Source organism: Homo sapiens, chromosome 2, assembly GCF_000001405.40.
Source record: "Homo sapiens chromosome 2, GRCh38.p14 Primary Assembly".
Classification (NCBI taxonomy): Eukaryota; Metazoa; Chordata; class Mammalia; order Primates; family Hominidae; genus Homo; species Homo sapiens.
In genome coordinates, this window is record NC_000002.12 from 24,701,597 (window position 1) to 24,728,672 (window position 27,076).

Sequence of the window (27,076 nt, forward strand, 5' to 3'; positions counted from 1 at the left end):
AAAATTAACAAAATTTTAACTGTTTATCTCTGCATGATGGAATTACAAATGACTTGACTTGTTCTTTGTTCATCTCTCTATTAACTTTATATTAAAATAAAGCCATTTTCATCTTTTAAAAAATATAGTTAAGGCTAGCCATGGTGGCTCACGCCAGTAATCCCAGTATTTTGAGAGGCTGAGGTGTGAGGATCGCTTGAGCACAGGAATTTGAGATCAGCCTCGCCAACATGGCGAAACCCTGTCCTATTAAAAATACAAAAATTAGCCAGGCGTGGTGGCATGAGCCTGTAATCCCAGCTACTCGGGAGTCTGAGGCAGGAGAATCCCTTGAACCCAGGAGGCGGAGGTTGCAGTGAGGCGAGATCATGCCACTGCACTCCAGCTTGGGTGACAGAGGGAGACCCTGTCTCAAAAAAAGAAAAAAAATATATCATGAGTCAAAGCTGGAAAGGGTTTATGGTATTAAGTTTGGAAGCATTGCTATAAAACATAAAGTACCGATATCAATGATTAATTAGAATGTTCTTTGAGACTTGTGTAATGTGATTAAGTCCACGGTCCATGTAACAACTGAAAATCTTTTTATGTCAAACTTTGTTAAAAATATTTAAAATGTGAGTTTACTGTCCTCTTAGTGATTTTGATATAATAGAGTTTACTCATTGGTGATTGAGAATTTTAGAACATCTAGGGGTAATTATTTTTTCTGTACCTAATAACAATTTTTTAATTCTTTATCTTTTTCTGCATATATTTAGGTGACTACCACAAAGAAAAATAAACCTCTACCGGCATTGACCCATAGTACCCTGCCACACATTTTTTCACCTGCCTATTTTGTTAATATCAGTCAGGCATGCTTGTTTGAGGTTATCTCAGCACCAAATTGGGAGGGATCAAAAACCCAAAAACTTTGCTTCTACAGCTGCTGTAACCAGGGAAAATTTAATGTTTCTTTTGCTTTGTAGCTCTGTTGAGGCCTATTCTAGGGATAAAAATAAATAAAAAATAAATAAATAAAAGCGGCTGTCATGTTAAAGGTTCTTTGGAAGGATTCTGAGGTGTCAATAATAGTCCTTCAATATTATCTTTCCTCACTAAGTGTTCTAAGGAGTTTAGAAATGGACACAGGAATCAGAGATCAGAATACTAGGTATAAAGATGACAAAATTAGGTCAGAAAACTAGGCCAGGACCTATAAACAAAATGGGATTCCAAAACTAAACCTTGAAACCCACTTAAAGGGAAAATTTGATGTGTACGGCAAATGTTTATTGAACCAACTCTGTAAGGAGCTGTGGCTACCTTACTCATCTCTTAATTCAAAGTATTAGTGATTGTTATTCAGAGTTGAAGCTGTTGCCATAAATAGTGTCTAGGGATTGACTATGTGTGTGACTCAGAACATAAATACTTTGGAAGCTGCGTATTTGTTGGGTTTTTTTCCCTCTGATGTTTATTGAGGAAATACTCATTCAATACCTGATATGTACTCCATGCTAGGCTCCGTGCTAGATATTATCTTACAATGTTGTTGGCTCAGTTTTAGTAATGAGTTGACTGAGATGGGTGAATGTTAATTTGCATTAAGTCTTAAACTTGTAAATGACAGTGAGAGGTCAAGCCTGAATCTGACTCCTAGGCTGTTACTCTTTTCATTGATTTATGCTGCCTTCCTTTGACCTCTTCATCTGAACAATTAAGCACCAGACTTTTAGTTAACTGGAGAGTCTTACTGAGTTCTAATTAATTGAAGTTTTACCATATTAAATATTGCCTCTTTCTCATTTCCAAGAATGGCTGAATGAATTATTAAATGCCAAATCTTAGTCCATACATTCTCATCCAAAACAAATAATCTAATTTCAAAACATAAAGTGTGGTAATTGTCTTGTATTAAATTAATAGGCTTCCCTAAATTCAGGAATTTTTCCTAGTTTAGATACATTATATTTAGTAAGTATGCCAGTGATTTAGCTGAAATTGCCAGGTGTGTAAAGAATGTGGTTGGTCAAATATAAGTCTTATCCTTTCAATTAAATTTATATTCTGGTTTTGGTACTTAAGCAGATATATTATGGTATAGATTTACATTAAACTATACCTTTTTCAGTTGGTACTGTATACACAGGACAATAAAATAGAACATGTCTTGTTTAAGTAACATGTAACTTCAAAAATTATTTATTAATTGGTAATTTTAAGCCTCTTTCTCATGGCCTTTAAAATGTAATCAAAGCCCCTTTGAAATGTCTTTGAAAAATTGGACTAACATTTTATCACAGGCTAAATTATAATAGTCATTTGTGGTAGTACTCAATCTTTCTTAAAATAGAATTATATGGTATTATTAAAACATCAGTGATATTTTATTACATAATAGTCTGGCATAGCCTTTACGTATTTAATAAATACTTACATGATTAGAATTTTTTCTGCTGTTAGTAAAGCTTTAAGACAAGAGTAAATTATGCTACTTATAAAGTGACTTGACTGCCTTAACTTAGTTTTTGTTCCTTATACTAATAACCATTGGCTACATCTTAATTTGCTTACTAAACTTTAAAAATTCAAACATTAAAAATAGTACACAGATTTTACACATATTTATAAATAACTTGTCAAATGGGACCTTAGTGATTCACATTCCTGAGTGAAAAGTTAAATTTGAATATTAGTTAAGGAACTCTGTAAACTGATCAAAACTTAGTAAATTTTATGGTGTGTCAGTCATATCTTAGTAGAGCTGTTATTTAAAAAAAAACCAGCAAAAGAGAAAACAAACTTGTTAAAGATAATACTGAGAGTGAGAGGGGAGAAAAATATTTCCTGGTATTTTTAATGGAGACAATAAATTTGAAGAGCTGCCCCCAGTATAGAGAAAGATTAAGGTTGGGCCAGGCGCGGTGGCTTACGCCTGTAATCACAGCACTTTGGGATGCCAAGGTGAATGGATCATTTGAGGTCAGGAGTTCAAGACCAGCCTGACCAACATGGTGAAACCCTGCCTCTACTAAAAATACAAAAATTAGCCATGGTGGTGGGTGCCTGTAGTCCCAGCTACTTGGAAGGCTGAGGCAGGAGAATTGCTTGAACCCCAGAGGCAGAGGTTGCAGTGAGCCGAGATCGTGCCACTGCACTCTAGCCTGGGCGACAGAGTGAGACTCTGTCTCAAAAGAAAAAAAAAAAAAGACTAAAGTTGATGTTTCCCAGATTTGGGGTTTTCTCATAATTATAACTTCTCTGAGGAGGCACCCATTCAACTATGACTCAATTAAAACCTGTCATCAAGTGGTATATTTCAACTGGAATCATCTTCCCCCTCAGATATCTGCTTTGTCTGAACTATTCTTTATTCTGAGTCTAAGCAGGCAACAGTTGGGAGGGCCTTTAAAATGAGGTTCTAAGTAGAAATAAAACCTGGTGACTTAAAGCCAGCGTATAAGTATCAGAATTTTAACTAGGTTTCTCTTCTGTTTGAAACAGTGATGACTCGTGGCACTGCCTCCAGCCCCTCCTATAGATTCATATTGAATGATGGGACAATGCTTAGCGCCCACACCAAGTGTAAACTTTGCTACCCTCAAAGTCCAGACATGCAACCTTTCATCATGGGAATTCATATCATCGACAGGTACTACTTATTTGGAGAGCTTCATATGAAATAAGCCAGTTCACATATCTCTTATTAGAGAAATTTTTTATACTCTTGATGGCTAGAAAGCAGAAATTCTAAATTAGGCGTAAAACTAGTGTGATGAGTATATATAATCAATATATCCATATTGGGTTTTATAGTTTTATCATGTAATAGCTTTGTTGTTCATAAAGGGAGGTAGGAAAGCTGAGGCTGAAAATCTGCTTTTTAGAGGGTAAAACCAAAAAGATGGCTAAAAATTTACAACATTCCATATGTGAATCTTATAAGAGATTTGTGAGTTTGTTAACATTGTTATTTTTATTTTTATTTTTGAAAGTGCTCTATTTTCATTAGGGCATACTTGGTGGCTCCTGAGTTCAAGTTGACAATTTCTCACAGAAATTACAAATCATTAAACTATCAACTTGATTTTTGAGTGCCATTGTCTCTAATTTGTTCCCCTAAGTATGTTTTACACTGATATATGGTAAATTCATGAAACTATTATCCTATGAATTATTAGAAATCCTACATTTACAGTGGTGAAAATGTAGCATTAAAAACAAAGACATTTCCCCTCACTTCATCTTTTTCTCATCTAATGTATTTGCTTATTGGAACATGGTAATGCCAGTCACAAATCTGTTGTCATAATTATGAATTTGAGTAAAGGACTCACTGAAAACCTGAATTCAGTATTGTGGTTTTTTTCTACTTTTAGTTTAAATTATGCTTGTGAGTGGAATTAGCACAGTTCTTTTTTTTTCATATTGTGATTTCTCTTTCAAAACATCTGCTATGTCTGCATATCACTCTTTTTAATTTTTACATCAGTGACACAGTATTTTCCTTACCCAGTCTTCCTCTTTGGAGTTGAAATACTTAAAAGCTGTAACAGGAGTCATAAATAAGTGCTTTATAAACAGAGGTGTGAGAAGTTTATTTTTCAACCAAAAAATTATTATAATGTTAATTGTGTATATTAGGCTTAGAAATTGTTTAAAAGAACATATATTGGATTTTTTCCAAAACCAAGAAAAATTTTTACATTATATTTTACATAAAATTATATTTTACATATAACTGAGACCATTATCAAATGTAAGAGTCGATAAGCATTATTTCTTATTAAGTGGTGCTAATATTTTACAGTAGTTTTTTCTTAATTTAAGAAACTTTTTTCTTAATTTAAGATGGTACAGAAGCTCTTTACTTGATAGCTTGCAATATTAATGAGATCAATGGTCTTGTTTTAGAATATGTATCATAAAAATATTTTAATAGAAACAAATGAAGATGTTTGAATAATAATGTCTTTTTCCCCCTAGGGAGCACAGTGGGCTTTCTCCTCAAGATGACACTAATTCTGGAATGTCAATTCCCCGAGTAAATCCCTCGGTCAATCCTAGTATCTCTCCAGCTCATGGTGTGGCTCGTTCATCCACATTGCCACCATCCAACAGCAACATGGTATCCACCAGAATAAACCGCCAGCAGAGCTCAGACCTTCATAGCAGCAGTCATAGTAATTCTAGCAACAGCCAAGGAAGTTTCGGATGCTCACCCGGAAGTCAGATTGTAGCCAATGTTGCCTTAAACCAAGGACAGGCCAGTTCACAGAGCAGTAATCCCTCTTTAAACCTCAATAATTCTCCTATGGAAGGTACAGGAATATCCCTAGCACAGTTCATGTCTCCAAGGAGACAGGTTACTTCTGGATTGGCAACAAGGCCCAGGATGCCAAACAATTCCTTTCCTCCTAATATTTCGACATTAAGCTCTCCCGTTGGCATGACAAGTAGTGCCTGTAATAATAATAACCGATCTTATTCAAACATCCCAGTAACATCTTTACAGGGTATGAATGAAGGACCCAATAACTCCGTTGGCTTCTCTGCCAGTTCTCCAGTCCTCAGGCAGATGAGCTCACAGAATTCACCTAGCAGATTAAATATACAACCAGCAAAAGCTGAGTCCAAAGATAACAAAGAGATTGCCTCAATTTTAAATGAAATGATTCAATCTGACAACAGCTCTAGTGATGGCAAACCTCTGGATTCAGGGCTTCTGCATAACAATGACAGACTTTCAGATGGAGACAGTAAATACTCTCAAACCAGTCACAAACTAGTGCAGCTTTTGACAACAACTGCCGAACAGCAGTTACGGCATGCTGATATAGACACAAGCTGCAAAGATGTCCTGTCTTGCACAGGCACTTCCAACTCTGCCTCTGCTAACTCTTCAGGAGGTTCTTGTCCCTCTTCTCATAGCTCATTGACAGAACGGCATAAAATTCTACACCGGCTCTTACAGGAGGGTAGCCCCTCAGATATCACCACTTTGTCTGTCGAGCCTGATAAAAAGGACAGTGCATCTACTTCTGTGTCAGTGACTGGACAGGTACAAGGAAACTCCAGTATAAAACTAGAACTGGATGCTTCAAAGAAAAAAGAATCAAAAGACCATCAGCTCCTACGCTATCTTTTAGATAAAGATGAGAAAGATTTAAGATCAACTCCAAACCTGAGCCTGGATGATGTAAAGGTGAAAGTGGAAAAGAAAGAACAGATGGATCCATGTAATACAAACCCAACCCCAATGACCAAACCCACTCCTGAGGAAATAAAACTGGAGGCCCAGAGCCAGGTGGGTAACTGCTTGCTTCACAGAATGGTCATTCTTAGTAATTTTTTTTTTCATTTATTCTATTCCATCTGTAGACCAGATATGAATTCATACTATGTTTTATCCTATCCATTGGGCATATATTAAGAGGTTAGTATCAATAACTGATCACAGGATGCCCTCAGAAGTTTTCTTTAGAACTTCAGAAGGCTACAGTTTTAATGCAGAATTATAAAAAAGGAAATTTTTCTTTCTCTATAAAATCAGTGTTCACATCTTTAGACATTTTTTAAAATACCTTCCCTGCCCCTCTCTCCCAGCCCTACCTATTGAATCTAACTCTCTAGGAATAAAACCTAGGAACCAAACCTAAGTCTGGGAACCCCTGATGTAAATGAAGTGGGAGAGAAATGTAAGGAGATGGACAAGGTTACTTAGTCTGGCTTGTTTTTTATTTCCTTTGAAGCATTTCCTAAGGCTGTTTTTTCCTTCTCATCTGATTCTGACCACCCTCAGCAATCAGAGAATAGGGACTTGAATATTCTGGGTAACAGAATATTGCCCTTATGTAACATGACCTGAAACAGACGTAAATAAAGACAAACCTTTCCATAAGTTGTTATGGATTAGAAACCTTTATGTTTAGGATGGGGTGAAAGTGGTGTAAAAGTAAACAGGTATCTTCATTTATTGTATAATTGCTTATGGACTCTGAAGGAATATAGTTTAAAAAAAAATATGGCCCTTCCTAGGAGCTTTCACCTTATTTAGAGACAGAATATAGACATTCATTAATCAGCAGACAATGTATGTACAAAGCAGTTTATCCACGAGACTCCATTCTAAAGCATGAGTCACACTTAGTATGCATAGGTCCTTCGGTTTCTTGAATCAGCTTAGTTTTCTGCTCTCATTTCACAAGAATCACTCTCTTCCCTCAGAAATACTGCATTCTAGGCAGATGGAAGTCCTTGTCATTCCTAGAATAAGCCATGTCTCTTCTAAACATATTCTGCCTTGCTCTTCTTTCTGTGCCCACTGAACTTCTACTCATCCTTCACAAACCAATTCAAATAACATCTGCATAAAGCCTTCCCCAAGTATCCCTAGTTAGACATTTCCTGCTTCTGTCCTTTTGTGGTGCTTCATATCATCTCTGTTTACTCTTTGTAGTAACACTATTTTGACTGGTTCTGTGCATGTGTGTTCTTTGAGGATAAGGCTGTCTCGTGTTTCTTGGTACAATGAAACTAATTTTTAAGCAGAAAACAGCATTAAATAATAAGTATATTTAAAAGGAAAAGATTTATAAGATAATGCCATTGTGTTCAGTTCTGGTGCATCTGTTTTGTGCACATGTGTATGTATTTCTGTTGAGCTGCTTCTTAGGAGTAGAACTACAGGATAATAAGATATGCATATGTCCTTTTTCAGTAGATAATGCCAGTTTTCCTAGTGTATCAGTATTTTTTCTAGTTGCTCCAAGTCCTTGTTAATACATGATATTATCAATATTTTAGATTTTTAGCTATTCTGAGGTGTGTGTTCTAATTTGCATTTCCCTGATAAATATTCATTGGTCATTTGGATATCTTCTTTTGTAAATTGCCTAGTCTAGTCTCGTGACCATTTTTTAATGTGTTTTTATTTTGCTTATTGACTTTTAAGAGTTCTTTATGTATGAGTCCTTTATTGGACATATATTTGCAGACATCTTTTTAGTGCTAAGGCTTACCTTTTCTTTCTCTTACTGGCACTTTTTGATGAGGTGAAGTTCTTCACTTTAATATAGTTCAATTTGTCAATCTTTTCCTTTATGGTTAATGCTTTTTGCACATGTGTAACAAAAGACATGTTCACAAATGTTTTTAACAGCTTTATTCGTATCAGCCAAAAACTGGAAGCAACCCAAAAATCCATCACAATAGAATGGATAATTATGTTGTGACATATTCATACAGTGGGACACTATTCAGCAATAAAAATGAATGAACTGCTGCTAAATGTAACAGTGCCCAAACTTCAGAAATATAATTAAATACATATATGTAATTCTACTTATATACTCTAGAAACAAAAATTTCAGTTGAACTAGATAATGAAACCCAAAAAGTAATCATAGTATAGCAATATTGTGAAATAAAGGCCAGTTTTCTTCTCTACATAACCTAAGACAGATGTAGGAACTCCCTATTTATTCTTTTTTATTTTATTTTATTTTATTTATTTATTTATTTATTTTTGAGATGGGAGTCTCGCTCTGTAGCCCAGGCTGGAGTGCAGTGGCACGATCTCGGCTCACTGCAACCTCCGCCTCCCAGGTTCAAGTGATCCTCCTGCCTCAGCCCCACTAGTAGCTGGAGTTATAGGCACGTGCCACGATGCCTGGCTAATTTTTGTATTTTTAGTAGAGACGGGGTTGCCATGTTGGCCAGGCTGGTCTCGAACTTCTGACCTCAGGTGATCCACCCGCCTCAGCCTCCCAAAGTGCTGGGATTACAGGTGTGAGCCATGGCACCCGGCCTCCCTATCTATTCTAAAAGATATGTTTCTTATTAAGTCCTTAAGTGGGAAGTAACCATTGTGATATCTTTAAAGCTGATAAATAATTTATGAAAAAGTTTTCCAAACTTTTTTAAATTATAAAATAGTTGAATCAATATAAGTTTAAAGTAAGTCATTTTATGAAATTTTGAAAAATATGACAGGAAAAAGTCACCCATAATGCTATCATCATAACACAGTACTACTGACACTTTTTTCCAGTCCAATCTTTTTTTATACATAGATTTTTGTACCAAGATATAGTAGCCAAATATATGTGTATTATTTATATCCTGCAGTATATGAATACTATTATCAGAAGCATCCAAATATTTTCCCCATGGAATAGTTAGCTCATGTAATTTCCAAGTAGCCCCAATCATTCTAATTATTTCTTCTTTCTTCATTATCTCAAAGTCACACTGAATTCATAGAGTTTAAAGAAGCAGCATTTTTTTCTACGTTGTTTCAGGTGAAAGTGTAAAATATATTTCCTCTAACTTTGGTTTCCATTCTTAGTTTACAGCTGACCTTGACCAGTTTGATCAGTTACTGCCCACGCTGGAGAAGGCAGCACAGTTGCCAGGCTTATGTGAGACAGACAGGATGGATGGTGCGGTCACCAGTGTAACCATCAAATCGGAGATCCTGCCAGCTTCACTTCAGTCCGCCACTGCCAGACCCACTTCCAGGCTAAATAGTATGTTCTGGGGACAACACCTCATTTTAAACGTTTAGTGATAATGTGGATTAGCATTTTGTCTCTCACCAGTATTACACAGATCCTTTGCTTAAGAGTGAAATATCTTTTTATTAATGCCACTATAAATAATAAAACAGTTATATTTAGGCATGTGAACATCATTCATCATGTGTATTTTAAATTATGACCTCTATCCTTTTGTAATTAATGTTAAGGTGAGCAATTGATGTTAAGGAGAACAATTTTGTCGTCTCACCCAAAACACCCCATAACAGGACTTTCAGAAATACAGTATTGGGTCAGATTGTTTCCAGATATCTTCCTTGAAAACTAATCCTGTGAGTTGCAGAAATAAAAGATTCTGTACTAAAATACACTGGGCAAATGCTACATGTTCCATACATTTCATATTGATGTTTTAATGCCTATTAGCAGTTTTGAGAAGCCTTGTATTAAAGAATGTAGTTTAGATTTCTTTTACCCAACATTTCCCAAACTTTCCTGATTATGGAATTTCTTTTCTCAAGTAATACATGTTATACCACAGAATGAGTTTTCCATGAAGTTGCTTAGGAGACAACTGTGTTAAAATATGTTATTGTTCTAACCCAAGTTAGCATTTTCCTAGTTGAGAGACACTTTGATAGTTTAATACATTAAATTTATGAAGATAAGGCTGTCAGATTTTTTTGCCCATCACATTTTGATGTTGAAAAAACCAGTGGTAAGAATTCCATTGTATGACCTTGAAACTAAAGGAAACTAATCAGCCCACTTTCAAAATTAGTCTGGATTTTCAACGTTAGTTCTATCCCTTTTCTGATGGTATCATATGTGGGACTTCAGTTATTTCAGTCCAACTGGAACTTTTAACTGTCATGACCCAATTACTGATAGTTTGCCAGGATTTCAGACAGCTGCGAAGAATAATCTTGAATCCATCTGTGACATTTTTGGAGGCAGTATTTTAGCTGACCAGAGTATTAGAGGAAGAGTCAGAAGCCTAGATTCAAATCTCACATTCTCCAGTCATTAACAGTCTTACCTCAAGGAAGTACATTTTTTGAACCTTATTCTCTTTATCTGCAATATAAGAATTAGATTAAATGATTTTGAAAGTTTCTTCTAATAGAAGCAGTGAGGCTCTAGACTGGAATGTCAGTCACAATTGAGGAAACAGTAAGATGCAAGGCTGAAAAGAGATAAAATGAAAGTCTGCATATTGATTGATTTGGAGGTCTTTATCTCCTTCCCCATCCAATATGGGAGACTGGAAGAATTTTCTCAGGGGACATTGAATGGGCGGAAAGATGTCTGGATGTGAGTATATAAGTACAAAAGCCATTCTGCTATCTCATCATCCAACAATGAAGGCTCCCAGAAGAGACAAGCCTGGCACTCAGCCCTCCCAGTCCATGTTTAAGAACACTGACTGAACAGACACAGTCAAGAATCATCAGTACTTGGAGGAAACTCTGCAACTTGAAAGGGAGAAAAAGAAATAAACAGAAAAAGTATGCAGTGGAAATATATAATGAATGCATAAACCAAAAAAGAAAAAAACTACTAGAAATTTTAGAAAGATAAAAATGTATTACCCCTGAAAATATGGAAAGGGAAAAAAAGGGACAAAGAACAGAAAAAACTCTTGGAAATTAGGTATCCAACTTTTTTTTTTAATGAGGGAAATGTAAGATGATACAGCTGAGAAAAGCTTCCAGAAAGAACAAAAAGATGCTCCCAGAAAGACAAATGGGAAGTAGGGAAGAAAAAGTTAAGGAAATTACAAGGTCCACCTCAGAGGGCCAGTAATGATTAAGAATTACACAAACAGGCCAGGTGCGGTGGCTCACGCCTGTAATCGTGCACTTTGGGAGGCTGAGGCAAGCGGATCACCTGAGGTCAGGAGTTCAAGACCAGCTTGATCAACATGGTGAAACCCTGTCTCTACCAAAAATATACAAAAATTAGCTGGGCATGGTGGCAGGCACCTGTAATCCCAGCTACTTGGGAGGCTGAGGCAGGAGAATCACCTGAACCCAGGAGGCAGAGGTTGCAGTCAGCTGAGATCGTGCCATTGCACTCCAGCCTGGGCGACAAGAGCAAAACTCTATCTCAAAAATAATTAATTAATTAATTAATTTTAAAAATTAAATTTAATTTAAAAAAATAAAAGAATTACACAAACAAGGGTGGGAAACATCAAAAAATATAAGAGAATTTTCTGATTCCCCAGATTACAGTGTTTCAACAAGTACCCAACACAAATGGAAAAAAAAAGTACTTGTACCAAAGCTTGTCATCATATCATTCTGGAACATGAGAGATAAAGAAAAGATTCTAAAACCTTTCAGAGAGAAGTTAATTCCATACAGTGAATCAGGAATTTTCAAAGGTAATATTGGAACTAGAAGACATTTATGATTTGAGAAAAAGGACTTCTACTTTCAACTATGACAGCAATAATTGGCACTGGTCTAGTCCTCCCACTGTAAATAACGGGAAAAAGAGCAAATACATTAAACAATTCTTGTAAGCCAATAGATAATAGGCAGTGTGAGACTGTGATCTCTCTGAGAAGGAAGCAAGTCAGGTGAGCTCTACAATCATCTCAGCTTTTTTCTTGGAGATGTTTACCAAACCAAGTACAGGTAGGAGGAACCCAAAATAAGCACGGATATTTTACTAAACTCCGAAAATAGTGATAGGAGTTCAGTGACAGTGGGGCAGCTAGAACTTGCTGAACAAAGTACCCGAGAAGAGAAGGATATGTAGAAAATAGCAACAAAAATCTGAATCAGGGTTCTTTTCTATCCTTGGCTGAATACTACACTGTGCATGTATTCAACGATACTCCATCAGGTGGGGCAAAGAACAGTTTGTGAAGGAAGAACAACTATCAGGAAGGAGTGAGCTGAACAACTACCAGAACTCACACAAGATTGGAAGATAATCAAGTCCTGACCAATCAGAGTCGGTAGACCTTCTTGAACATCTGGGACATTTAGTGGAAAATGGCCTCACTTTAAGAGTGGATTTACCCTAGACCTGCTTTGACATCTTAAAAACAAACCTCAAAAGGATCAAGCTTATGTACAAGTAAATTAACTGTCTGAAAGAACACTATTCAATAGTTTTTAAAGAAGACACCAAAATTCAGACATTCAGCAGCATTATATTCATAATTTCCAACATATAATAAAAAAAATTAAGACACATGATGTAGCAAGAAACTGTGACCCATACCCAAACAAAGTCAGTTAATAGATCCAGAAATGACAGAGATGATAGAAGTAATAGAAAAAGATTTGAAAATAGCTATTCTAAATATGTTGAAGAACTTAAGGGACAACATGAACATAATGAGGGAAGAGATATAAACTACAAAAAAAAAGAGCCAAATAGAGCTGGTAGAGCTGAAAAATACAGTATTTAAAATGAAAAATTTGTTGGAGGAGCCTACCAGCAGATTAGACACTGCAGGAAAAAAAGAGCAATAAACATGACATAGTATTAGAAACTACTCAAATTAGAGGAGAAAAAGAATACCACAAAAGTATTGAAAGACCTCAGTCACCTGTGGAACAATACAAAGCAGTCTAGTATACACATAATATATAAATAATACATAATTATGGAAGAAGGGGGAGCAGGTGAAATTTTTGAAAAAACAGCCAAAATATTTACAAATTTGTGGAAATTTGTAAACCTACAAATCCAAGAGTTTAATGAATCCCAAGCAAAATAAACACAAAGAAAACTACTATAAGCCATGTCATAATCAAATTGCTGAAACAAAAATCTTAAAACCAATCAAAGAAAAATGACACATTATGTCAGATAAACAAGAAAAAACTTTCTATACTTAGTATCATTCAAAATGACACAGAGATGAAAAAAGATAGAAAATGATATAAGATGAACAAAGATAAGAAAACAACTAACTTTCTGTATCCAGTATCATTCAGAAATGCAGGTGAAATAAAGATGTTTTCAAACAAACCACCCTGAGAAAATTTGTCACCAGCAGATTACACTATTGTTCAAGCTAAAATAAAATGAATCCAGATGGAAACTCTAACCTACAGAAAATAATAAGAGAGCCAGATAAGTAAAGGTATGAATAAATGGAAAATTCTTTTTTCTCATTTGTTAGTTTCTTTAAATGAAAAATAACTGTTTAAAGCAAAAATAATAACAGTGAATTATATATGTAATATGTAGAAGAAAAATGTATGACAGTAATAGTACCAAAAATGGGGTAGAATAAATGAGACAATACTCTTTTCTACAAAATAGTATAATATTTGAGGCTAGAGGCTAAAGTTAAAAATGCATTTTTTTAACAGAAAAATATTCTATAAGTGTCCTGCATGTAGAAAATCCTAAAGAAGTGAGAGGAAAAGCTACTTGAACTAAATGAACTTAGCAAAGTCACAATATGTGTACTCAGTATTTTAAAAAATCAATTGTATTTCTGTATATCAGTTACATACAATTGGATAATGATATAGAAAAAGCAATTTACAAAATACATAAAATATTAAGACATAAATTTTAGATGGAATAACATGTGCATTACTCTACACTGAAAACTACTTTGCTGAGAGAAATTAGAGGGGGGCCAAATAAATGGAGAGGGATACCATTTTCATGGATTGTAAGACACAATTTTGTCAAGATATCAGTTATTCCAAAATCAACCCATGTAAATTTAATGTAATCCCAATAACAATCCCAGCAGGCGGCCGGGCGCAGTGGCTCACGCCTGTAATCCCAGCACTTTGGGAGGCCGAGGCAGGCGGATCACAAGGTCAGGAGATCGAGACCATCCTGGTTAACATGGTGAAACCCCGTCTCTACTAAAAAAATACAAAAAATTAGCCGGGCGTGGTGGCAGGTGCCTGTAGTCCTAGCTACTCGGGAGGCTGAGGCAGGAGAATGGTGTGAACCCAGGAGGCGGAGATTGCAGTGAGCCGAGATTGCGCCACTGCACTCCAGCCTGGGTGACAGAGTGAGACTCCGTCTCAAAAAAAAAAAAAAAAAAAAATCTGAGCAGGCATTTTAGTAAAATTTGACAAGCTTTTTCTAAAGTGTATATGAGAATGCAAAGGTCCTGAAATAACAAAAACCACTTAAAAAAAAAAAAAAGAAAACTTGGGAGTATTTATACTGCTTGATTTTAATACTTCTATAAAGCACCAGTCATCAAGATGGTGTGGTTTTGGAATAAAAATAGACATATAGATCAATGCAAAATAATGGAGAGTCCAGAAACAGACCCACATTTATATGGCGAATTGACATTCAACAAAGACACCAAGGTAATTAAACAAAGAATAGTCATTTCAATACATGGTGATATAACAACTGAACATCTATGTAGAAAAAAATGAACCTCAACCTCTCTCCTCATCCCATACACAAAAAAATGAACTTATTTTGAGTTGATCATAGGCTTAAATATAAAAGTTAAAACTATAAAGCTTTTCAACAAAAAAAAGTCATTGAGATAGACACATTTTTGATAGGACACAAAAAGTGCTAATCATGAAAGAAAAAGATTGATACATTAGACTTCGTTAAATGTTAAATCTTCTGCTCTTTAAAGACCACCTCTTGAAAGAAAATGAATCAATAATCAATAACCTTTCAAAACAGAAATCACTAGGCTAAACCCAGATGGGTTCACTTGTAATTCTACCAAACATTTAAGGAAGAAATTATATTCTCTCTAATCTCTTCCAAAAAATAGAAGCAAAGAAAATATTTCCTAACTCATATTGTAAAACACATATCTGATATAAAGGAGTGATACCCAAAATAAACAAAGAACTCTTAAAATGAAACAATGAGAAAACAAGCAACTCAATTTAAAAATGGGCAAAAGATCTGAACAGACACCTCACCAAAGAAGATATACAGATGGTAAATAAGCATATGAAATGATGCCCAACTCATATGTCATTAGAAAATTGCAAATTAAAACAACAATATGCTGGCGAGGATGTAGAGCAACAGGAACTCTCGTTGCTGGTGAGAATACAAAATGGTACAGCCACTTTGGAAGACATTTTGGCAGTTTCTTACAAAACTAAACATACTCTTACCATATGATCCAGCAATCACACTCCTTGATATTTACCCAAATGAGTTGAAAACTTATGTTCACACAAAAACCTGCACATGAATGTTTATGGCAGCTTTATCCATAATTGCCAAAACTTGGAAGCGATCAAGCCATGAAAAGACATTGCTGAGAAGAAGCCAATCTGAAAAGGCTACACATCCTGTATAATTCCAGCCGTATTCTGGAAAAGGCAAAGCTGTGGAGACAGTCAAAAGATCAGGAGTTGCCAGGGGTTTGTTGTCAGTGGTTGCCAAAGGCAAGGATGAATAAGGAGAACACAGGGGATTTTATGTGATAAGTATCATACCTAAAAATCCCCTGTGTTCATATCATGTATAAATAAATGTACATAGACATATACACATATATATATATAAATCATGTGTATGCAATGACATGTATCTATCCTGTCATTCTGTATTGGTCAAAATATCAAAATCCACAGAATGTACAACACAAAGAGTGAACTCTAATGTAAACTGTGGACTTTAGTTAATACTAATGTGTCAATATTGGCTTATCAGTTCTAACAAATGTACCACACTAATGCAATAGTAGGAAAAACTGTCCAATCTAAACACTGGGCAAAGGATTTTAAAAGATATTTCACAAAGGAAGATATGAAAATGGCAAATCAGCATGTGAAAAGATGGTTAATATCTTTTTTTTTTTTTTTTTGAGTCTCTCTGTTGCCTAGGCTGGAGTGCAATGGCATGATTGCCGCTCGCTACAACCTCTGCCTCTCAAGTTCAAGCAATTCTCGTGCCTCAGCCTTCCAAGTAGCTGGGATTACAGGTGTGCACCACTATGCCTGGATAATTTTTTTTGTATTTTCAGTAGAGATGGGGTTTCTCCATTTTGGCCAGGCTGGTCTAGAACTTCTGGCCTCAAGTGATCCACCCGCCTTGGCTTCCCAAAGTGCCAGGATTACAGGTGTGACCCACTGCTCCCGGCCAAGATACTTAACATCTTTAATCATCAAGGAAATGCAAATTAAAACTACAGTGCAATACCACTGCATACCCATTAGAATGCCCAAAATTTTAAAAACTGACCATACCAAGTGATGGCAAGTGATGGCAAGGGTGTGGAACAATTTGAACTTTTACATTGCTAATGGCATGTAAAGTGGTATAGCAAATTTGGAACATTGTTCAGCAATTTCTCATAAAGTTAATCATACATTTACCATGTAACCCAACAGTTCAACTTTTAGGTATTTAACCAAGAGAAATGAAAGTCCACGTCCATAAAGATACTTGACTACAAATATCCATACAGTTTTATTCAAAATAGCCCCAAACTGGGTGGGCGCGGTGGCTCACACCTGTAATCCCAACATTTTGGGAGGCTGAGGCAGGCAGATCACTTGAGGTCAGGAGTTCAAGACCAGTCTGGCCAACATGGTGAAACTCCATCTCTACTAAAAAAAAATACAAAACTAGGCTAACATGGTGAAACCCCATCTCTACTAAAACTACAAAAAAAAAAAAAACAAATCAGCCGGGCGGCTACTCAGGAGGCTGAGGCAGGAGAATGGCCTGAACCCGGGAGGCAGAGCTGGCAGTGAGCCGAGATCGCGCCACTGCACCCCAGCCTGGGCGACAGAATGAGACTCTGTCTCAAAAAAAAAAAAAAGCCAGGTGTGGTGGCGGGCGCCTGTAATCACAGCTTCTAGGGAGGCTGAGGCACGAAAATCACTTGAACCTGGGAGGTGGAGGTTGCAGTTAGCCGAGATCGCACCATTGCATTCCAGCCTGTACTACAAAGTGAGACTCTGTCCCAAAAAAAAAAAAAAAAAAAAAAAAAAACCCCAAACCGGAACAAACTAAATGTCTGTCAACAAGTAAGTGGTGTATTCATAAAATGAAACACTGCTCAGCAATGAAAAGGAAGGAACTATAATACTATTACATAGGATGAATTACTCTTGGAAACATGCTAAGTGAAAAAAGCCATATATATTCAGATTTTTTTTAAGCTCTCAAACAGGCAAAACTAATCTGTAGTAATAGAAGTCTGATCATTGTTTGCCTGAGTTAGGAAGATTGATAGCCAAGGAACATGAAGGAAATTTTAGAGGTGATAGAAATATTCTGTTTTCTTGATTTGAGTGGAAAGTCCTGGGTTTATACCTTTCTCAAAATTTGTTGAACTGTACAAAATTTGTTGAACTTAAAATGGGTGCATTTTATTGTATGTAAATTATACATCAATGAAGTTTAGTTTAGAAATATCTGAGAGTAGAATGATTTCCAGCCAATAACTATCACATTTCTTGTAGTTGTAAAGATAGAATAAAGCATTTTCAGATATAAAAGACCTCAGATTTTATCTGCTTGATATATTCACCTTTTCTAGCAAAGGTCCTGGAAGATGTCCTTAAACAGGGGAAAACCAAAAGAGACAAAACCAAAAGAGACGGAGGAAGCAAAGGATCTGAAAGGAAGCCCAGGAATGACAGCTGATCCACAAGATTAGGGAACAACCAGTGCATATTGAACCGGGGGCCTGGCGAATCCTCTAGAAAGGAGGCCTCCAGAGAAGAAATGAATTGATCTCCTTGAGTTTATAGAAAATATTATTGATAGATTTATGTCAGAATGTTGAAACATCTGATAAATTCTAGAACCGCTGACAAATGAAAACATAAGAAAATTATTAACTCCAGAAAAAAGAAAGTATGGCACAAGAGAGGAGGTTCGAACAAAGTGCACAATTTGACTTAGCAGTGAGCAATATTTGCATAATCATAATCAAAATATTAGCTTTTGATTTTATAAAAAACTATGATCTCTGTTAGGGAATTGGGAACCAGGATGGTAGTAAGAGAGGTACATGTGGAAGAACTAAGACCTCATCTATAATGAGGGGAAGTCAGTAAATCTAAAATGGAGACATCAAGAAATAGCAATATATGCATATTTAGAAATAAATAGGCAATGCCAAAGAAAACAGTTTTCAGAGTTGCAGATGGTTGCCTCTATTGAGAAGGAGGTAACTAAGTGACTGGAAGGGGTGAGGCAAGAAACTGCTTTATTTATTATGGGCCTCTTGGTTCTGACTTATAAAATTATGTGTGTGTGTTAACTTGATAAAAACTAGAGTTAATAGAAATAGTATCTGCTAGCTTTGCAAGTTGTGAAAGTGGGGTGTTTTCTGTCATAGTCTGTATTGAGGCAAACAGCTTTTTTCTCCCTTGAGGCTTCCCCTCCGGAGTACAGCTCCATAAGTGAAAGTATGTAAATAGGCCAGAATCTGTTTCACCTCGTGCTAATATGTTCGCAAAGGCCAAGAGCATAGAGGGGAAGATACCAAGGTAGATATGGGGGAGGTCAGTAGATGCAGACAACCAGTCTACAATGTGTAGATATAGACAGGAAAGAAAAAAGAATTCAGAGACCATAAGGCTAAGGAAACAAGTTGGGTGTGAAAAAGGAAAAAAGAATTAAGGATTGCAGAAGGAAAAAGAAAGAAAAAAGATGGGAACAAAAATATGATAGCGTATAAAGAGAAGAAGAAAAGAATCACTTCTAATTCTCTGCCCCACTCTTACCTCTAAATTGTCCCATCACTACTGTCTACTAGAACCAGAGTCTATTATTGATTGGCCCACATCTTAAGTTTGTGCCCGCCCAGGAAAATCAAGCACCTTTCCTTACTTTAGTCTTCAATCTTAGCTGAACTGTGTCACGTACAAATATCTTGCATAGGATAGTTTAATTATCATCCTCCTTCACCACCTGAGATACACAGTTAGAAGTAATGGCTCTATCCCCCATGACACTTATCTTTTTCTCTTATACTTTTCTTTTCCTTGCCATTTTGCACTGTATTCTGAGAGAATCTCTGAGCTCAACTTTCCAGATCAAAACTAAATCTTCAGCTATGTCCATCCTGCCCTTCAGTCCATCTATTGAGATCATTTCATCATAGCTATAATTTTAAGATTTCTAAACATTCTTTTTCTTAGGAGTCTATTACTTTTTATGGATGCAATAGACTTTTTAATCTGTATGATGATATTTATTGTAATTTGGGGTTCACTCATTTTCTATACTAACTCTTTTTTCTTCAACATTACTTTCTTCATTAAAGTTGCTTTCTTTCTCCTGTTGACTTTTCTTGAATGTTTGGTAAATTTTGACTGTCTCTCCATATATATTGAAAAAGATCTAGAATTTTAAAATACTGGTAGCTAGTGTATTTCTTTAGCTAAAGTGAGAAGCCCTTTTCCCCTGGCAGTGAATGTAGATTCTGATTATAGAAGCCCTACTTCTCAGTTGTTGTGAGGAATAGGCCTTGGAGGTGGGGAAACCCCTTGTGGCAGCCCTAGCACCCCCTTTGGGAGATTCCCTGGGCAGAACTCCCATTTTGAGTCATATGCTCACAATTGTAATCCCATGGACAGGTGCCAGAGTCAGCTGCACTCAGAGCAATGGCCTGGCAGCAGCTGTTCAGCCATCCATAATTATCCAGCAATTGCCCATGGCCTGTTCCTTTATTTGCTCAAATGACCACTGAGCCTGGAGTTGTTCTGGTGTTCTGGGAAAATTCCTCTCTTTGGAAAATCTCTTTCTCCTGTTGCAAGTGTTTTAGTTTAGTTGAAGTTTCACAATCAGTTTGTTTCCATTTGTGTTTTGTCTTTCAGAAATTCTTCGTTGTTTTAGTCTTCTGCCATGAAAATTTCTTCTGCCTTTCCTTCGGCTGTAGATTTGTGTTCCCCTTTTTTCTTTCTTGAGTTATTTCAGTGGTGTTTTTGAAGAGAAAATAAAATATAAGTGATATATCTGCCACATTGAACCACAAGTCTCCTTGGGTTCGTTTACAAATGAGAAAACAAAGGTCCAGAGAAAAGGGAGACACATAAACACACACAGACAAAAACTTCCCCAAAGTAGTATTTGTAGAATAAACCAGGATTTAAATCTCAATCCACCTGGTTTCAAAACATGTTGTGTGTATGCACACACACACACCCAAGCAGTGTGGCCAAGTGATTTAAGTAATTTTGTTAGAAATGTTCTACCAGAGCACATCCAGGTAAATACTGCTTTTTCAATGGAGATAGCTTTTATGAGGGTACTGTTGATCAGAATGTGTACAGCATGCCTGTTTGTCAGTACCTTCAAAACCTTTGCTGTGTCCTTTTGACTATCTTCAAATCCCTATTGTTTGAGGGTAGATTTCACTTTTGAAAATTTCCAGTCATGTGGAACCAAATACGTTGATCTAAAAAGAATAATGCTGTTTTTTTTAAATCAAAAACTAAAAAGTGTACCTATGAGGAAACTTATTTTCTTGAAGGACCTGTGGACTGGTTGAGATAGTTCCTGAAGAATTCCAAAAATATTTAAGCATTGACATCACTGGAATAAGTGAATGACCGTGTGAGGCAGTTGTTTTTGTGTTCTGTGAACATAAACATTCTGGGATAATTTTTTTTTAATCTTATTAATTCACAGTAAATCAAAAATATTGTATAACTATAAAAATCACTATTTTCGTATGCAACATTTTCAGTACCTAAAAAGATCCATTTTTCAGCTTGGGCAACATGGTGAAAAATGGGCAACATGGGCAAAAAATACAAAAATTAGCCAGGCATGGTGGTATGCACCTGTAGTCCCAGCTACTTGGGGAGCTGAGACAGGAGGATCACTTGAACCCAAGGAGGTGGAGGTTGCAGTGAGCCGAGATCATGCCACTACACTCCAGCCTGGGCGACAGTGAGACCCTGTCTCCAAAAAAAAAAAAAAAAAAAAATCCTTTGAAGTTACATTTCATGGTTTTTGTATATTTGTTTATTTATTTTTAGTGATTAAGATATTCACGGTTCAACATTCAAAAAAGTTTTTAAAATATATAGTGAAAAATATCTTTCCTGGCAGTATCGTTTTTTCTGTACCTTCAAAAATTACGTACATAGACTTCCCTTTTTAAAATACAAATAGTGTCATACTATACACATTAGCTGTTCTGTATCTTAGTCACTTTTTCACTTAATGTTCTATGGATGTCATTCTGTATCAGTGCATAAAGAGCATCTTTATTCTTTTTTTATAGCTGTACAACTTCTTACAGTTGTACCAGAATTTACTTAACCAGTAGCCTGATAGGCATCTTTTGCTATCACAAAGCTGTAATGAATAATCTTATGTAGAGATAATTTACCACATGTGACGGTATATCTGAGATACAAGTTCTGAATAGAATTGCTGGGTCAAAAGATAGATATTGCCAAATAGTCCTTTCCAGCAGTTGTTTCAGCTTACACCCTAACTGATAATGTTTCCATTTCTGCATATCCTTGCCAATACATTGAATTATGTACTTTCTCATTTTTGCCCATCTGATGGTTTTATTCTTTTAGGTATCTCAATGTCATTTTAATCTATATTTCTTTTATTGTGAATTAGATCATATTTTAATGATTTTATAATATTCATTTATGTTCATATTCTCTACCTATTGTCTTACTGGGTTTTTATCCTATTGATTTATAGAATTTTTTATATGTTAGAAAAATGAGTTCTTTGTCTACATCATGTTTTGAAAAAAATAAAACACTGTAACTGCTGTGCAGTTACTGCCAAATGTAACACAAAACTAAACCAGAAACTTCCTTAACAACAGCTGAAGAAAATTAACTGTGAATATCAAAATCAGTAGATACTAAATCAACTGTTAGAAGAGTAGAATGTGCAAAAGCCACCCTCATGGTTAAGAAAATGCTTTCTACTTGGTGTACAGAAATTTTTTTCTATATCCTAATCTTGGAAGTGACAGAAATTTTTAAATTATTTCTTAATATAAGGGGGGTTTTTTTGTTTGTTTTTTGTTTTGTTTTGTTTTGTTTTGTTTTGTTTGCTGGGTTCAGTGTCCCTTTTAGCTATATTTTAAATGGAGGAAGTATGATGTTGAGCCCTTTGCAAAGATGATAACGAATGTTAATAGCTTGATCGGGGGATCCCTAGGGCTTGTTTTCTGCCCCTACTTCAGCTGCCTGTTTCCAGCAGAAATGACTGTATTGTCCTGTATTACATGTATACTTACTCATGTTTGTGTCACAGAAATGACCAAAAATATTTCATTTATTCTCTGGACAAAGAGAGAGAGCCTGTGTATTTCCTAGAAGAAATACGTGAAGCATACCTTCACATTTTTTACAGAAGGCAGTTTCTAAAGAAAGTCGCAAAAGGTTGAAATGACTTTCAGAATAAAAACCAACTTCTTTTAAGCATGCAGTCTATCCAAACAAAACTTTTTTTTGACTTAAAATTTTATTAGTATGGGGATTTTTTTGTTTGTTTTTGTTTGCTTAGTCACCAAACTCAGCATATGAATCTTATTTTGAAAATATTTTATCCAACTTATTTTCTTAACATTTTTTTCAAGACTAGTAAAATTAGATACTGTGTCCTATTACTGAGTCAAATAAACTATCTTGCAAAACTTAGTATTGCTAGTAGACAGTGGACAGCCATGTAAATTTTCTTAGACTTTTAAATTAATTAATTTTGGTTATAATAATTAAGATTAGATTTCTTGAAATAAGATTGAGGAATTAACATGTAGGCAGAGCCAATGGGACAGTTTTAGATAATCTTTGACCAACTTTCTGATTTAAATAATGACAGAAAGTAAGTGATTATTTCCCTTTTTTTTTGTTGTTTTATTTTGTTGTGTTTTTCAGAATCCTACAGAATTTGATTTCTATATCATTTGTCATGATAGAGATGAGGTTAATCGAAAGCTGTAATTATATACATTTAAAAGTAAATGTGTTTATGTAACTTTTATTTCTCAGTTATACTAAATATTGAATATATTCACTTAGAAGTGAGCCTTGCATGTATTATGTAGTTAATAATGTTCAGTAACTAGCATTAAGTACATTTTGGGAAGCATCCTTAAATCTACTTATTCTTCATTCATTCGAATGAGAAATTCTACCTCAATAAGCTTTCCCTTAAAACTCCAAGGCTGTTTTAGTTTTTAAAAAAAGATTCTATTTGGGCTACTATAACAAAATACCACTGACTAGGTGGCTTAAACAACAGAAATTTATTTTCTCACAATTCTGGAAGCCTAAAGTAGTTTTGGTTTCTTCTGAGGCTTCTTTCCTTGGCTTGGAGATGGCCCTCTTCTCTCTGGGTCAGGTTATCCCTCTGTCTGTATTTTTTTTCTCCTGAACTCCTCTTCTTGGAAAGACACTAGTCATATTGGATTAGGGCCCACTGTAAAGACCCATTTTGTCTTAGTTACCTTTTTAAAGGCCCTGTCTCCAAATATAGTCACATTCTGAGATACCAGGGGTTAGGACTTCAGCATATTAATTTGGAGGGGGGTACAATTCAGCCCATAACAATGATCAATTAATATATATTCATTTTAGAAATTTCAAATAACCATCATAGAAAGAAAAGCAGCCTTTAATCTCACTACCTAAAGTGGACCTAAAGTGTGCGTGTGTGTGTGTGTGTGTGTGTGTGTGTGTGTGTGTGAGATCCCAGAATTTTTTTATATTAATATATATGAAATAGTTTATAAAAACAGAGTCATCCTGAAAATAATGTTTTGGAATATGTTTTCTTTTTTCATTTAACAGCACATTGTCAATATCTATGCCATAATTCATTAATCAGTCCCTAAGTTTCTGGAATTTAGGTTATTTATAAATTTTTTTCTAGTATAAATAGTACAGAGATGATCATAAAGCTTTCCAAAAAAGCGTTACAGAAAAACGTTCTAAAATGCATATACTATTTTCTTCAATTACAAAACATAATTCAACTTCTTTTTTCATTTGGGCCATCATTATAAGTCTCAGTTCTTATACTGTTATTGTACAGCTATATTCTAAGATTAGCAACTGTAGAGCTGTGTTCATTTGCTGCATGGCCTCAGATTCTAGTTTCTGTTCCTGCCTCTGATAGAATGTATTTTATCTTTTGCTCACCACTCTTATTTCGTGGTGATGACACTGTGTTACTTATAGCATATTCTGATATGTGACTGAAAAGCAGATAACCAAAATTGTTAAATTTATCTTTAAGATAAATAATTTCTGACAAAGTCCTGAGTGATTCTGGATAACAGTAACCTATGTACAAACTTTAATATCAGATTTTCCTTGATTCAGAAATCTTTTTTCACTTTCTCATTTACTTTTTTATTATGTGGTCACACTAGATAGTTTAAATTGCTGAATAAGTGACCTTTGTATCATTGAAGTAATATTTTAAAGGAGAAATCTCACTCTCCAATATATTATTTTTGAAAATACCATCATTTTATCCTCCACTGAGATAATGACTTCTTACCTTTTCTTCTTAAATCAGGATTACCTGAGCTGGAATTGGAAGCAATTGATAACCAATTTGGACAACCAGGAACAGGCGATCAGATTCCATGGACAAATAATACAGTGACAGCTATAAATCAGAGTAAATCAGAAGAGTAAGTAATACATTTTGTATTTTATAAGGTATCAGATACCAACTTCTAAACAGAGAACTATTTTTTCCAAACTACATTTCAGTCTACAGTGGTATTTTGTGAGATATTAATAGATGTAAATACTTACTAAAAAAAAAAAAAAAAAGTGGGCCCGGTGCAGTGGCTCTGGCCTGTAATCCCAGCACTTTGGGAGGCGGAGGCAGGTGGATCACCTGAGGTCAGGAGTTTGAGATCAGCCTGGCCAACATGGTGAAACCCCATCTCTACTAAAAATACAAAAAATTTGCCAGGCGTGGTGGTGCGCAGCTGTAATCCCAGCTACTCAGGAGGCTGAGGCAGGAGAATTGCTTGAACCCAGGAGGTGGAGGTTGCAGTGAGCCAAGATTGCGCCATTGCACTCCAGCCTGGGCAACAAGAGTGAAACTCTGTCTCAAAAAAAAAAAAAAAAAAAAAAAAGGGTGGCGGGGACAAGGGAAAGACACTGAATTAAACAGATTTATTGACTGCATGACCACAAGGCTAGTATACGTTGTAATCACCAAGAGATTGATATAATATGTAGCTATTGTTTTATATTTCATGTATTACTTTAATTGATTACCATAATGTATCTGGGACCTATGGATGAATTGGCCTCAGTACAATAATTATATTGCTCTTGAACTTTTAGTTATATTATTATTTTGTCCAGCATTTCTCTTCGTTTGGTGCAAGAAGTTATAAGAAAGGAAAGTATACTTTTTACATCTACTCAGTGTCACATCTTGATTAGAATTGAATTTCTTACTCCCCGCAGGCAGCCATATTCCATAACGCAGGCTGCGTCTCATACCTGCCAACCACAGGAAGACTAGATAGTATTGATTGTGGTTTAGCGCCTTAACTATGAACTGTATTCCCATTTACCTTCTCAAAGGAAGAATGCTTATAATTGTATTATTAGTGTTATTAGGATTAGTATTATTTTGTATATATTTCTGTTTTATGTATCAGTTGGTATCTATTTGGATTAGACTGTATATTTCCTACATGTAATCAGTGAATAATTTGTTGCTTAATACCTAGCATATTTCATTTTTCCAGTTTGATTTCTTTTGTAAATGGTAATCATGTCATGTTAACAATCAAAATGATTTGATCATCTTTAAAAGTTAATATAATATGTACTGTTTTGATTGTGGTTCAGTTATTAACAATTAATGGCATTCATAAAAGGTAAATAAATAGAATAAGTAGAATAAATCTGAATATAGGCTAAATGATTTTTTCTCAGTTTTTGGCTGATTTTGTTTTTACTTTTATTAAAAGTTATTTCCCCTTTCTTAACTGTTTGGTTAATTTTCCAGGCTATTTCTGGAACATAAAGAATATGGGAACAAAGTTCAATGACTGACAAAAGAATGAAAACTATATTCAAGCTACATACCAAATACTCATTTAATTTCTACACATTAAACATAGAACATTCCATGGCATTAGAATTGCCAAGCATCTCAACAGTGAATTTTCTAAGACCAAATTTGCATCTATATATGTATATAAAGATTGAATAAATTATTTGCTATGTCAGTCTGAAACTTTCTTGTTTTTTAATCCTGCAGCCAGTGTATTAGCTCACAATTAGATGAGCTTCTCTGTCCACCCACAACAGTAGAAGGGAGAAATGATGAGAAGGCTCTTCTTGAACAGCTGGTATCCTTCCTTAGTGGCAAAGATGAAACTGAGCTAGCTGAACTAGACAGAGCTCTGGGAATTGACAAACTTGTTCAGGTATTTATTAAAGTCAACATTATTTAACTGATGGAGCCCTAAGAAGCTAGAAAATTATTTTAAGCAAGATTTTAAAGTATTGTACCCACTATGCTTTAGCTGTTTTATAATTTACCTCTTGTGAAACTTATCAAAATATATGAGTTTTTTTTTTAAGAAAAAGTATTACAGTAATTAGAATTAGAAATAAGTCTTA

At 35.3% G+C, this 27,076-nt stretch overlaps 1 protein-coding gene across 15 annotated transcripts in view; it reads left to right on the forward strand.

Annotated features, from left to right (window-relative positions):
• Positions 1-27,076, forward strand: part of NCOA1 (nuclear receptor coactivator 1) — a 279,449-nt gene that overhangs the window by 210,343 nt on the left and 42,030 nt on the right. For all 15 annotated transcript variants that reach the window (XM_047446155.1, NM_001362950.1, NM_003743.5 and 12 more), the window contains 5 exons: positions 3,490-3,637; positions 4,972-6,292; positions 9,335-9,515; positions 24,993-25,110; positions 26,712-26,880. In XM_047446155.1, the coding sequence (XP_047302111.1) occupies positions 3,490-3,637; positions 4,972-6,292; positions 9,335-9,515; positions 24,993-25,110; positions 26,712-26,880 (1,937 nt within the window). The remainder of the gene's footprint in view (positions 1-3,489; positions 3,638-4,971; positions 6,293-9,334; positions 9,516-24,992; positions 25,111-26,711; positions 26,881-27,076) is intronic.